We start from the raw sequence: 13,399 nt of genomic DNA on the forward strand, positions 1-13,399 counted from the left end.
GGGCCAGTGTTGTGCTAGCGAGTCGCAGTGGCTCATGCTTGTATCTCAACACATTGGGAGTCTGAAGTGGGAGGATCACTTGAAGCCATGCATTTGACACTAGCCTTGGCAACAAAGTGAGACCCTGTCTCCACAAAAAAAATTTAAAAATTAAAAAAATATTGGCTGGGCGCGGTGGCTCACACCTGTAATCCCAGCACTTTGGGAGGCTGAGGCAGGTGGATCACCTGAGGTTAGGAGTTTGAGACTAGCCTGGCCAACGTGGCAAAACCTGTCTCTACTAAAAATATAAAAATTAGCTGGGCATGGTGGTGCACACTTGTAATCCCAGCTACTCAAGAGGCTGAGGCAGAGAATCGCCTGAACCTGGGAGCCAGAGGTTGTAGTGAGCTGAGATCGCACCACTGCACTTCAACCTGGGTGACAGAGCAAGACTCTGTCTCAAAAAAAAAAAAAAAGAACTGGGCACGGTGGTGCATGCCTGTAATCCTAGCTAATCAGGAGGCTGAGACTGGAGGAGCACTTGAGCTGGGGAGTTCAAGGGTGCAGTGAGCTATAATTGTGCCACTGCACTCCAGCCTGGCACCAGAGCCAGACCCCATTTCTTTAAAAAATTTTTTTCTTTTTTTTTTTTTAAAAGGCTAGCCGTTGTCTGAATATTTTGTTAGCGAGTATGTTAAAGGAAGGACTCTTTAAATTTCTGAGTACTATATTACCCAGTTAGAGCTCTGGGGTTAATTTTCATTAATGCGAGTTAATGCATAGCAAAACAACTTTTGTTACAGTGTGTATTTTTTAAACTAGTAATCTTATTGTCATGGAAGCAGCTTTCACTGATACAACTACTGTTACGTTGAATAGTTAATATCAGTCATTGCTAACAGGAATAATAGATTTTTAAATGATTTAGTTGTTCTAGCTGCATAATTTCTTTGTTAATTTGTAATGCTTCAGAATTGTTTTCATCCCTTGCATTTGTTTTGCACAGAAACACTTTGTGCTACTCTGTGGGGCTTTGGAAAAGCATGTTAAATGTGATATTAGGGAAGATGCAAGACTTTTTTACAGAACTAAGGTAAGTGTGTTCTTTCTTTTTTTCTTTTTTTTTTTCTTAATCTTGGTTACGTTAATATTTAAGGATAGAAGCATACAGGCCTATATTCAGAAAAAGAACATATAAGGCTAGGCATGGTGGCTCATGCCTGTAATCCCAATACTTTGGGAGGCTGAGACAGGAGGATTGCTTGAAGCCAGGAGTTCAAGACCAGCCTGGGCAACATAGCAAGACTCCATCTCTACAAAAATTTTTGAAAAATAGCCAGGCATGGTGTCATGCACCTGTAGTTCTGGCTACTTGGGAGGCTGAGGCAGGAGGATCACTGGAGCCTAGGAGTTTGAGGTTGCAGTGAGCTATGAACACACATGGCACTCCAGCCTGGGAGATAGAGTAGGACTCTGTCTCGAAAACAAAAAGAAACATGTAAGATTAGAAATAGGACTTTCTCTTTTAATAACAGAAATCAGCTCCTGCTAAATTAGTGTAGCTAAATTAAAAGTGAAAGGAAAAAAAATCTCAAAGCAAATACACTTTTCACTTTACTTTCTGTTCTGAAACTCCTGACACCCAAGGAGAAAAATACTTCTAGTACTAATGATACATATTTTTCCCCATTACACAAATTAAAACCTTCATGCTTAAGTTACCATCAAGGATTGAAGCATTATTTAAATAAATACGTAAGTTATGAAACAGTGGCTTTGAAATTTTATGATGGTTGAAAACTTGTTTTATTCATAGAGTACAAATAGATTAGCTGTTATTCTTTGAATGTTTCATTGAAGAATATGTTAAAGGAAGGAGTCTTCAATTTTTTTTTTTTTTTTTTTTTTTTTTTTTTTTTTTTTGAGATGGAGTTTCACTCTTGTTGCCTAGGCTGGAGTGCAGTGGCACAAATTCGACTCACTGCAACCCCCGCCTTCCAGGTTCAAGCGATTCTCCTGCCTCACCCTCCCAAGTAACTGGGATTACAGGCGCCCGCTACCATGCCCGGCAAATTTTTTTTTTTTTTTGTATTTTTAGTAGAGACGGGGTTTCACTGTGTTGTCCAGGCTAGTCTCGAACTCCTGACCTCGTGATCTGCCTGCCTCGGCATCCCAAAGAGCTGGGATTAGAGGTGTGAGCCACCACACCCAGCCAGGAGTCTTCAAATCTTTGGGTCGTACAACACCTAGTCTGAGCTCTAGGGTGGAAATGATTTCAGCACTAAGCTTGCTAAGCTTTTTTTCTTAAAGGTTTTATATACTCAAAGACAGTAGAAAAGCCAAATATATGAGTATGGAGTAGGAAAATAATGTTAGTATTAATAGAATGATTTGACAGTTTTTCCTGAAACATAAAATCAGACACTTTTAAAATACTTTTTTCTAAATACAAAAATGAGCCAGGTGTGGTGGTGCGTGCCTGTAGTCTCAGCTACTCAGGAGGCTGAGGAAGGAGAATCCCTTGAACCCAGGAGGCAGAGCTTGCAGTGAGCTGAGATCTCGACACTGCACTCCAGCCTGGGCGACAGAGCAAGACTCTGTCTCAAAAAATAATAATAATAAATAAAACAAAATAAAATAAACATACTTTTTTCTAAAGATTTTTTTATTCCAAGATTATCTTTTAGCTTTGATAATGTAATACAATGCTGATTCTTTTTGCCTCTTGTCTTTGGATAGTCATTGAATGTGAAGCCTCAGCTTTGTAACTTAATATCTTACATTAATTAGCTGCAAAGGTTAGTCATTTGAACAATGCCCATTCAGATTTAACATATGTATTTATTTTAGTAAATTTAAGTTAAATACAAAAATAAGCAACTAATGAAGTTATCAGATTTCTGATTTTCAAATACATGTAGGGGATAGCTCTTTCCCCAAGAGTAGAACTCTAGTTTCAGAAGCACATTCTTTTGAGCATTCATTGACCAGAATTGCTGGCCTGTAGAACTTGGTAGTGGCTACTACTGACAGCCATGCTAAAAGGGGACCACCCAAGTTTTATGTTTCTTAAAGACAAGGGCTTGGCACAGATTGTTGCCAGTGCTTCTCTTACTTAAAGTGGAAAGCGACACAGTGGTCTGTGGAAATTGCTTCAAGGGATGGTCCTGCTGAAATAGATGAGTTGCCTGCCTCTCCAAAAGCCTCTATTATAGAAAAGTTGGTGATTGTTTTGGAGAAATTTGAACTGTAGATGAAGAAAAAAGCATAGATTGTAGTTTACTTTATAAATTTAAAGCTGCTATAAAATTCCTGACTTGTTGAAAACATGTTTCTCAAGCAGTTATGTTCAATAGCTAATTGAGAATCTCTAGAGTGATAGAGTTTGGGTTTTGTGTTACAGTTTCAGTTGTGCACAGACACTTGCTAAACCTCCAAATGTAGGAAAATACGAGGTATTTAAAGGGGATTCGTAGTACTTGGGCACAAGCATGGAGAGGAGTAACAGTGAATTTTGGATCTTCTAATAATGTGGAGAGGGACAAATAAACGTTTTTTTTATGGCTTTGATCCTTTCAAAGGGAAGCTGGGAAGGGAAGGCACAGAACAGCCAAAGCCTTGGGCCCTGTTGACACAGACCACCCTTCAGCTTCTCTATCTGGTTGTTCAAAAGCCAGCGAGTTAAAGTTAAGTTCCTTTGAAGGCAGAGAATGTGTTTTTGGGGATGATCTTCAATAACAGGAAAATTAAATCATAAGCATTCAATAGTTTAGATTATGATGATAAAGGGAGTCTTATTAATTTCTATGATTTGAAATCTCCTTCAAAAGATGAGTAGTTTATTTTCTCTTTGTTGACAGAAATCAAATTGAGTTGTTGAGTGTGGGCCTGTTGCAGCTGTCAGATATTTTGTGTAGTGTTAAGCTGATTGTAGGTGAGAATGTTTTAATCTGATCCCTTTTCCTGTTTTTGATATTTTTAAGGTGAAAGACTTGGTCGCCAGGATACATGGAAAATGGCAGGAAATAATCCAGAACTGTCGGCCTACTCAGGTGTCATTTTGTTATACAATTTCATGTATTCTTAATAGTTTTGCTGAATGGCACTCTTCATACTGTTTGAAATAAAATAGGGTATAACAGTGCACTTGCTTCTAGTTATCTTAAGATAAACTGAAAACGCCAGTATAATACATGGTTTGTAATTTTTTTAGTTTTCGTTTGCTTTATATTCATTAATTTATTTCCAGAAGTGGTTGAGCCCATTTAAAAATATTGCATTGCATCAAATGGAGGTTATTCAATTAAGAGCATTTTTAAGACAGATCTATTGAGATAGAATTCACATACCATAGATTTTACCCACTTAACGTGTACAGTGGTTTTTATTACATTGACAGAGTGAATAACATCACCATAGTCTAATTTTAGAACATTTTCATCACCCCAAAAAGAAATCCCATACCCATTAGCAGTCATTCATTCCCCTTTCCTCTACTACCTTGGTTCCCCTCCTGACTCCTCCCAAATCCTAGGCAAACACTAATCTACTTTCTGTCCCTATACATTTCCCTATTCTGGACATCGGTAAATGAGATATACTATGTAATCTTTTGTAATTGGCTGTTTTCAGTTAATATAATAATAAGTGAATCCATGTTATAGCATGTACATCCCTTCTATTGCCAAATAATTTTCCACTGTATGGATATGTCACATTTATTTATCTACTTATCAGACATTTGTATTGTTTTCACATTCTGGCTATTACAAATAATATTTCCATGAACATTTGTATGCAAGTTTTTATGTGAATATGTGTTCTCAAATGAAACATTTGAAAAGGAAGTCAAATTGCTGGGCCATATGGTAATTCTATGTTAAGTGTTTTAAGAAACTACCAGACTGTTTTCCAAAGTGACTGCATCATTTTATATTCCCACCAGAATGTCTGAGGTTTCTAATTTCTCCATATTCTCACCAACACTTGTTTTTACTAAAGCCATAGTAGGGAGTAGGGAAGTAGAATCTCATTGTGGTTTTAGTTTGCATTTCCCTAATGATTAATGGTGTTAAACATCTTCTCATATGCCTATTGGTCATTTGTATAGCTTTTTTGCAGAAATGTCTATTCAGATCCTTTGCCCATTTTTTTCATCCCATACTTCATTTCAAAAAGCCTATTTTTGAATATAGTTATTTGTCTTTTTATTATTGAGTTGTATGTTCTGGATACAAATCCCTTATTAGAGATATAATTTGTAAATATTTTCTTCCATTCTGTGTGTTGCCTTTCCTTTATTTTTATTTATTATGTATATATTTTTGACACTTTTTTTTGATGTTATATCTAAGGAGTCTTTGCCTAAGAGGGACATTTTTTTTAACACCTGCTAGTAAGTGTGCCAGCCTGCTTGTTTACAGAGTAACTGGCATAGGATTGTCTAAAATGACGCTTCTCAAATTTTAATGTACATAGGAATCAACTAGGAACTTGGTGAAATATGGATTCTGACTCATAGGTCTGGAGTGAGAACTGAGATATTCTGTACTTCTTTTTTTTTTTTTTTTTTTTTTTTTTTTTGAGACGGAGTCTTGCTCTGTCACCCAGCCTGGAGTGCAGTGGTGCAATCTCGGCTCACTGCAAGCTCTGCCTCCTGGGTTCACGCCATTCTCCTGCCTCAGCCTCCTCAGTAGCTGGGATTACAGGCGCCTGCCACCACACCTGGCTAATTTTTTTGTATTTTTTAGTAGAGACAGGTTTCACCGTGTTAGCCAGGATGGTCTGGATCTCCTGACCTCGTGATCCGCCCGCCTCGGCCTGCCAGAGTGCTGGGATTACAGGCATGAGCCACCGCGCCTGGCTGATATTCTGTAGTTCTAGCAAGTTATCAGATTGATGCCAATGCTGCTGCTTCAGGGACTAAACTTTGAGTAGCCAGGGCCTAGAAGTTGCTTATATTTTATATCAAAATAATAGGAACACTGAATGTTAAGTAGATAAAGCAATCTCTCTATTTTAAGTCTTTGAGAAATCTTATATTTATGTTTTGTTGTTTTTGTATTTGTTTCTAACCTTAATAGATTTTCTTTTAATGCTGGTCATGTACTGATGTGGTATTAAAACAGAAAATAATTTAATAGCAAAACTATACTAATCAGCTTAACATTATTTAATCTGCTTAACTAAGCCCCTCCATGTGTGCAGTGGTGAGAAAAACATCCTGCACTTATTTTTTACTGTTTTTTGTTGTTTGACTACTGAATGTGAAATTTGAATCTGATTACCATAAATTTTCAGAGAAGTCAATATAAAGATTTTATTACTTGTCTTATCAAAGCCCATTGTCTGATGATTAGTAGTTTTATAAGGATTAATTCATAATATGATTAAATTTTGCTTTACCCTCTTTTTTCTCCTTCCCTTTTTTAGGGGCAGCTTCATGACTTCTGGGTACCAGATTCTTAATAGGAGTTGCAGCAGCAAAAATATGAACCAAGAGAAATTCAATAAGAGCCTTTCATAGAGGAGTAGAAAGGATTATTACAGAATCCAATGAATGCCAAGAAAATGTACAGCAAATGTGCCACTTGAATATCTAGTATGAAGCTGGTAATGAAGAAATTGCCATTTCTGAAGCAGATATGAAATATGATCTGCTTAATTGTTAAGGCAACTGACCTTTCAAAAGTGCAGAGTCTTATTAAAAGAGGGGAGGGGTAGAAGCAGAATAATAGTCATATGTCTAACCTGCCCCAGTTAACTCCTCTTGTTAAATTATAAGCCAGTTATCTTTTTTAGATAGTATTTTTGTCACTTGGATAATCACAGGAAATATATAAGAAAAGAGCTTGGACTAACTTGAGAAGTTGGACATGGAAAGCAAGACCAAGTTCCAGTTGGGTTTAATTTTCCCTCTTGGTTATTTTCGGACACAAAGGGAATGCTTAAAACTGAGTTTAGTAATAAAAAGCATAAATCTCTTCTGTAACTTTTATAAACCACAGGGAGGTTTCAATCCATGCATTTTCCTTCATTACTCAAGATTATAAATCTGTTTTTAAAATACATCTAAACAAACAGTTGAGAAACAAAAGTTTGGCATGTTGTCAGATCCCCTTAAGAGGAAGAGGTTAAGCTGTAAAGTAGTGGCCCTGTTTTGATGCCAGAACATTCATATGCTGTTTGTTCTGGATTTCTTTTAAATGCATGTATTTTAAATACTGGTTAAATCTTAGAATCTTGGCTATATCTTAGAATTCTGGCTCTTGGTAACCATATTACAGAAGTCTATATTGTAAAAGCCTAAAGATCTGGACAAGTTTCCAACAACCTTGTTTCCATGAGTATATAATTTTGGCAGACACCTGAATTCTTTGGGACACTGTGTCTGTGTATGTGTGTGTGTGTGTGTGTGTGTGTGTGCGCTTGTATCTTGAAGTTGTTGCACTTCAAAACCACAGCTGCTGTAAATTCTTAAACACTGGAGAGCCATCCTTTGGTTTAAATGGTAGAGGGTTAGTGGAAGTGCACACGTTGTTTTTAGCCCAGGGGTAGTAACAAACTCTTACTAGCCAACTAGAAAATTATTTTGTTGACGAGATGTCCCTTTTAGGAGGGTTTGTTTCCTGAAAGAATGCCAACTTTTTTTGTTGTTCTTTCAGTATTGGCTTGAGTGACCTGTTCTCCTGAGTGCTCTAGTGTCTCCAGTTGTGGGGGGGAAAGATGATGGAGGGGAACAGAAACTGGACTTGATGTTTGCGGTTTGAGAGGCAAGAAAATAAAATAACTTTCTACCTCTAAATTGAGGCTTAGGAGTAAAAAGCATTTTGTCCTAAATTTATCATTTAAAATAGCATCAGTAACTTTTGAGCTCATGTCAATCAAGCATTGGCAGTCAGAGATTTTATAGGGAAGACTAAGTAAATCCAGTTTCCAAGAACCTAAACTGATTGAGGCTCCAAGAGTCAGACCAACAAAAGTTTTATTCTGTGTTGTTTACTGGTAAGAATATTATTATCTTGATACTACCTCTCAAGGGTATTGTTACAAAATGCCACTTATGGTTAAAGAGATAGATACAAAGAGTTCTATTTGACAGAAGCTTGAAACTCTGGCATCTATCTGCCCAACGATGGGGGCTTTCGTTCTGTAATTTAATCCTTTGTAGATACATTATTTGTGTGTAATTTTATACGTGTTCATATTTTTCTCATTTTGCATTGTGTAAAGTGTACAAAATCTCAAAGTATAAAATACTGCTTATATTGCTTGTAATTTACAGTGTGTAAATATTTTCTAATTGTGTACATTGATGGGGGGGACAAGTGGGTTATTCAGGTTTTTTTTTAATGACCCTTTTGTATTGCAGTTTCAACAGATAACTGTCCATCAAATTTAAAACCACTTTGATACATTTTTATTTAACAGTTCCAATAAGAAAAAAATCTCTATTTTTAATTATATTTCTCCTTTAGAAAAAAAATACTTCATGGTCCCTCTAAAATAAATGGCCAGACCTCAGTTTAGGCCCTTGTATTTATGACTCTGGTAGAGGTCTTCAGACTCCAGGTCATAGTCCAGTCAGTATTTGCATTTGGGTTCTCATGAAAACTTTGTGACTCTCTTTTAGCACAAGTAGCCCATGGTTTTTCTTCCAAATCAAGTATTTTACTTCTCCCTTGAGTCCCCATGCTTTGTCTCCCTCCTGCTGCTATTGCCCGGTGAATGGGATGGTAGAGAGGGAGAAATGTTCATTGCACAGAGAATGTCAGGCCACTTTGGGGACTTGGCAAACGAAGCTTGCACTGAGTGGTGGTGTGTTTGGCAATATTACTGTGCCAAAAATCACCTTGTCTAATTTTATGGATATGTATGGCAAACTTATTACCCTTCTTGCAAGCTGCACATTAAGGTACTTGTAAGTGTTTATGCTTTTGTGTGTAACTGTTTGCCTTTTCTAACTGCTTTTCTTGTTACTGAAAATATAATTCTACTAGTTTTATCACATTAAGAGGCTCTCCATGCACAAAATGCATTGATGTAGCCGTAAAGTAACAGCATTTGTACATTTTCTATCTCCTGATGGCAGTGGTGCCTTTGTCACCTTTTGGAAGGTTTGCATTTTGTTTCTGCTTTCAAGCGCAAATAGTAGCTTGCTTTCAGCTTCACAAAAATCTCCTCAAATGTAAAAGATACAAAATGGCGTGTTATCATCCAGGCTTAGTTGGAGTATTTGCATTTTTATTTTTATCAAAACAAATATAATTGGTGGGGACTGGCCAGTAATAATGTGTGGCGTCTTTAAGCCAAGAGTAATTTTTAAATTAAAAATGAAAATTTTAAGAGGTAGCCCATTAAACAAGCTACTGAGTTGGAGAATTAGGGGATGACTGTGGTGGTTTGTCGCTAAGGAGGCAACAGTAGGGTCCAGGCGGCGGGGCACGTAGAGCAGTTAGCATGATCCATGGTTATTCCTTACTCATGAACAGTGTCGGCGCACCTCATTATCTGTGCATTTGTTTTTCCTGGGCAGTCCTGTCAGCCAGTTAATCCACCAGCTCTTAGGAAGTAAATACAGATTTTTTTCTTTCCTTTTTTTTTTTTTTAAAGATTTTATACTACATCTTGTTAAAGTCCTATGAATGTGTGTGTGTGTGTGCTATTAAAACTGCTTTTTCTCAGTTTGAACATGTGTTTGGTAATATTTGTTTGGGAGTTGGGGAGGCTAAGTTATCTGGAATGCCCTGTTCCCTCAGCCCACCCCAGTCCCCTGGCTTTTAAACATTTCTTCTTGCTTTGGATTGTCCAGTTTTTTAGCTTGATGTCTCCTGTTTCTGGAAAACATAAAGCCACCATTGTACACAGTTCACTTTTATATAACCCAGTTAATTGCTGTATACTTTGCAATCAGGAATTCAGTAATCTCATTCTTACCTCATTCACTATGTTCATTCCACCATTCATTCTAACAATTGAGTCTCAACTACATACTAGGCACTCTTTTTAGGATTCAGTAAGGATTTGATGGTGAACAACATAGAGAACTCATGAATCTTACCTCCTGGTATCCAGGTTAAAATACTTTCTGTTCTTGGGCAAAGAGAATTAGAAACAAATACCCTTAACCTGACTCCCTTGTTCTTGAGCCCAGGACCAAGAAAGAAGAAGCTGTACAATGCAGAAGCAGGGCTTGAGATCACCTCCAACCTGCCAAGCAGATAGAGATCTGGGTATGCCAACTTGGGAGGCAGAGGTTGAAACCTCATAGGAGGAACTTTGGAGCTCATAGAAGGCCTTGGCATTGTCAGAGGCCTTGAGTTCCAAAACCATGCCAGTATTTCTGCCTTCTGACAGGCTGGCTAGAAAGAGACTAAATGGGAGCATTTTTCTCTGACAGTGGGGCGGAGGGATGAGGGGATGACAGCCCAGGAAGAAGCAGAGACATTGCCGTAAGTACTTACTAGAGGGCAGGCAGCACAGCTTTATGCAAGTTAAGGGCCTTGACCTTGCCCCAAGGCCTGACCTCAGATCCCAGATTCATCATACTAGCCTTTTGATCTTTGCCAAATTACTTAAACTCACTGTTTCCTCATCTGTTGAATAATGGTGTCTACCTCAGGGTTTGTGAGGACTAAGCGAGCTAATGCATGAAAAGTGCCTAGTACAGTGCCTGGCATATAGCAAGAACTCAGCAAATGCTTGCTGCTCTAACGAGGCGTTTCTCTGATGACAGATTTGATCTTAAGCAGACACCTCAGGGTGTACTGACATCTGAGCAAACCATATCTCCAAAAATTATAGTTGTAAGTGTGCCCTATTTCTTTGGATACCGGGAGCTGGAGCTTCTCTGTCCAGCTATCTCTGCTGATTTTTTTTAATTAAAATTTTCACTTTTTAAAAGCCAGCATGCTAAAGCTGAGAAATTGGTGATGGGTGGTGGTTTTCCAGCATTTGTGGGAATGTCCTGACACTCCCTTTCCCTTACTAACCATTCCCTAGGCTGGAGTCAAGAGAGGGCAAACCAGAAGGCCCAGCTTTGGGTCTGACTCCAAGACGACTGGCTGGGAGGAAAACTAAACAGGCTTCTGAGGCACAGTGGAATAGTGAGACTTCCGCATTGTTGCACTGGTGACAGCCCCTACAGAAGAAGCACCTCAGCTGTATATATAGCCAAAATAAAGACCACACCACCTAAAGGGAAAGTGCTGGGCAAACCAGAGATGGAGATGGCAAAGCAGGAACAGAAATGCTGCCACATTGAACAGTAAGCAGGACAACTTGACTAGGCCAGAGTTCTCTTGCTTCAGGGAACCTGCTCAAGTTTCAGGAATTCATACCCACCCCCTTCACCTAGGATCCCTGCTACAGTAAGTAACTGTTCTGTGCAAAGTGGAGCTAAACTCTGGTGTGTAAGTGGCTGACAATCACTGCTGAAGACGGCCAGCACTACCCTCAGCCACTTTCTTACAGCAAAGTTGGGGAAAATAGACTAGCAAAAACAAAACTCATACTTTTCTGTGTGTGTGAAGTTCTCCAGAAGGTTTCCAAATGGAATCCTCTCACAGCCACCCTGCGAAGCAGCCAGGGTAGTGACCTTATGGATGAGTGACAGCCTGTTCAAAGAATGACCTGCCTGTGTCCCAGGATGCAGATTTATGGCTGGGTTAGGGTTAATTTCTTTAGTTGATTTCCAGTTTTCTTTTCCACTGTCTGTCAGTATTCCCCCGTTCTTATTTTACCAGCTGGATTTGCAGAGAGACATACTGTCAATCAAAAGGGCTTCCTATGGGCAGCTCCATTAATTGCTTTTACATCTGATACTCTCATTAGGTTTAGAGATTTTACTGGGAGGCTAGCAGAAGGAAATGGATTGTGGTCTGCTATCAAAAGTACTGAAGTAACTGCCCAGTGATCATTGAAATCACACATTTTGCTCATTTAACAATGTCTGAGTTTGCCATCAGCACCTCAGAGGAGCAAAGCTTGGTTCATAAAGTGAAGTTGAGTGATACTGAGCCTACCACACTGGCCTACTCGCCACCTCCAGAGCTATCTGAAGTCAGCACTGCAGGTTCTGTGAACATTTGGGAAGCTGTGCCTCTTAGCCCCCTGGGCCCCTACAGTTTAATTGCTCTCCTATCTGCTACTGAAGGACCAGCAGTCTTCCTACCCTGCCTCCACTGTTACCACCAACCCACTTTTTGATAAGGACTGCAGATTTATCTTTCTTAGCCCTGCCTTGACTGGTCTTCCCACCTCAGACGTCCTTACTCAGTCCATCATCTCTTTCAGGATTTTCTTCTGTGGTCTTTTTCAAACTACTAGCTGACTTTTCCCTTTTATTTCCCACTAGGAACCCCTCCCCGCCCCCCCCCCCCCCCCAGCCATTTCATCAAATCAAACTCACTGCCCTCTTTCATGCCCCTTCCTTAGTTCCCCAACACAAGCCTGTGCATAAGCTTGAACATTTCTACCTTTGCCAATGGTATTTCCCCTTCTGGCTTACCCTGCTTCCTCCTTCTCAGACTTTTCCAGTCTTGATTGTCCTCTCCATAAACACAAGAATGAACTTCAAGGCAAGTTACTTAATGTCTTAGAGCCTGTTTCCCCATCCATAAAATGGGGCTATAAATTCCTCAGGATGGGATGAGGGTACAAATAAAAAATGAAGCAGGATATTCTTTGTAAAAGTGTGTGTACATTTTTTATTGTGTTTCTCCCCAGCTACCTTCCCTCTCCCCGCCACACACATCCTATTTGCAGAGTGTTGGGGGAGGTGGAACTGTGATGTGGGCCCTGCTGTCTAGCAGTCTGCAGTCACACACAGCCATCCAAACTACGAGATTGTATATGATTCAGTGCCAAACTGTGAGCTTTGGGGAATCCAGAAAGAAGGATGAAGCCTTTCCCAAGTTTCCTTTAGTTAAATGTGCCACTTGAATCCTGTTCTGACTCCTAGGCACATGCAAGAGTCAATCACATATGTTCCTGTGGCCTTTATCATTTTGGTCCATCTCTTGAGCCCACATGAATACTGTCATGGATGGAGGAGGAAGGACCAGGCTGGGTCAGGGCCTGAATGCAGGTTTTGTTTGGACTATAGGGGCTAAGTTCACTTTAATAGGCTGTGACCTATTAAAGGAGGCAGGAACCAAGTTTGCACAGAAGGACCATCCTAGTTGAGTTAAAGGAGTTGGGGAGTTGATTGTGAGGGGTTTCCTAGATTGCTGCTGGGTAAGGTGATTGAATCTGGGAAGGATAGGGTACTTGATTGCCTAGAAGGGTGCACTCTAAGTTCTGGATAAGAATGGTGCCCAAGATGAGCTGGAGGGGAAGGCAAGTGTTTGAATGACCCAGTCCCTGAGGTGAGCCTAGGTTAGGGTTAAGATTTGGTGAGTGAACAGGTGCAAACGCT

At 39.4% G+C, this 13,399-nt stretch overlaps 1 protein-coding gene across 6 annotated transcripts in view, besides 1 other annotated feature; it reads left to right on the forward strand.

Moving 5' to 3' along the window:
- The window catches only part of SLF2 (SMC5/6 complex localization factor 2), a 52,172-nt gene extending 42,500 nt beyond the window's left edge, over window positions 1-9,672 (forward strand). For 5 of the 6 annotated variants that reach the window (XM_047425461.1, XM_047425462.1, XM_011539944.4 and 2 more), the window contains exons 18-20: window positions 989-1,075; window positions 3,966-4,034; window positions 6,415-9,672. In XM_047425461.1, the coding sequence (XP_047281417.1) occupies window positions 989-1,075; window positions 3,966-4,034; window positions 6,415-6,450 (192 nt within the window). In that variant the 3' untranslated portion in view covers window positions 6,451-9,672. Of the gene's footprint in view, window positions 1-988; window positions 1,076-3,965; window positions 4,127-6,414 lie in introns of those variants that run through there. The other variant, NM_001136123.2, reaches the window with a different exon arrangement.
- Window positions 10,370-10,664: a silencer, noted in NCBI's record as "tiled region #3697; HepG2 Repressive DNase matched - State 14:Gen5'". NCBI's record gives its function as "represses a minimal TATA promoter and a strong SV40 promoter by Sharpr-MPRA in HepG2 cells {active_cell/tissue: HepG2}" and the evidence as "EXISTENCE:reporter gene assay evidence [ECO:0000049][PMID:27701403]".

The sequence above is a fragment of the Homo sapiens genome, chromosome 10 (assembly GCF_000001405.40).
Source record: "Homo sapiens chromosome 10, GRCh38.p14 Primary Assembly".
Lineage (NCBI taxonomy): Eukaryota > Metazoa > Chordata > Mammalia > Primates > Hominidae > Homo > Homo sapiens.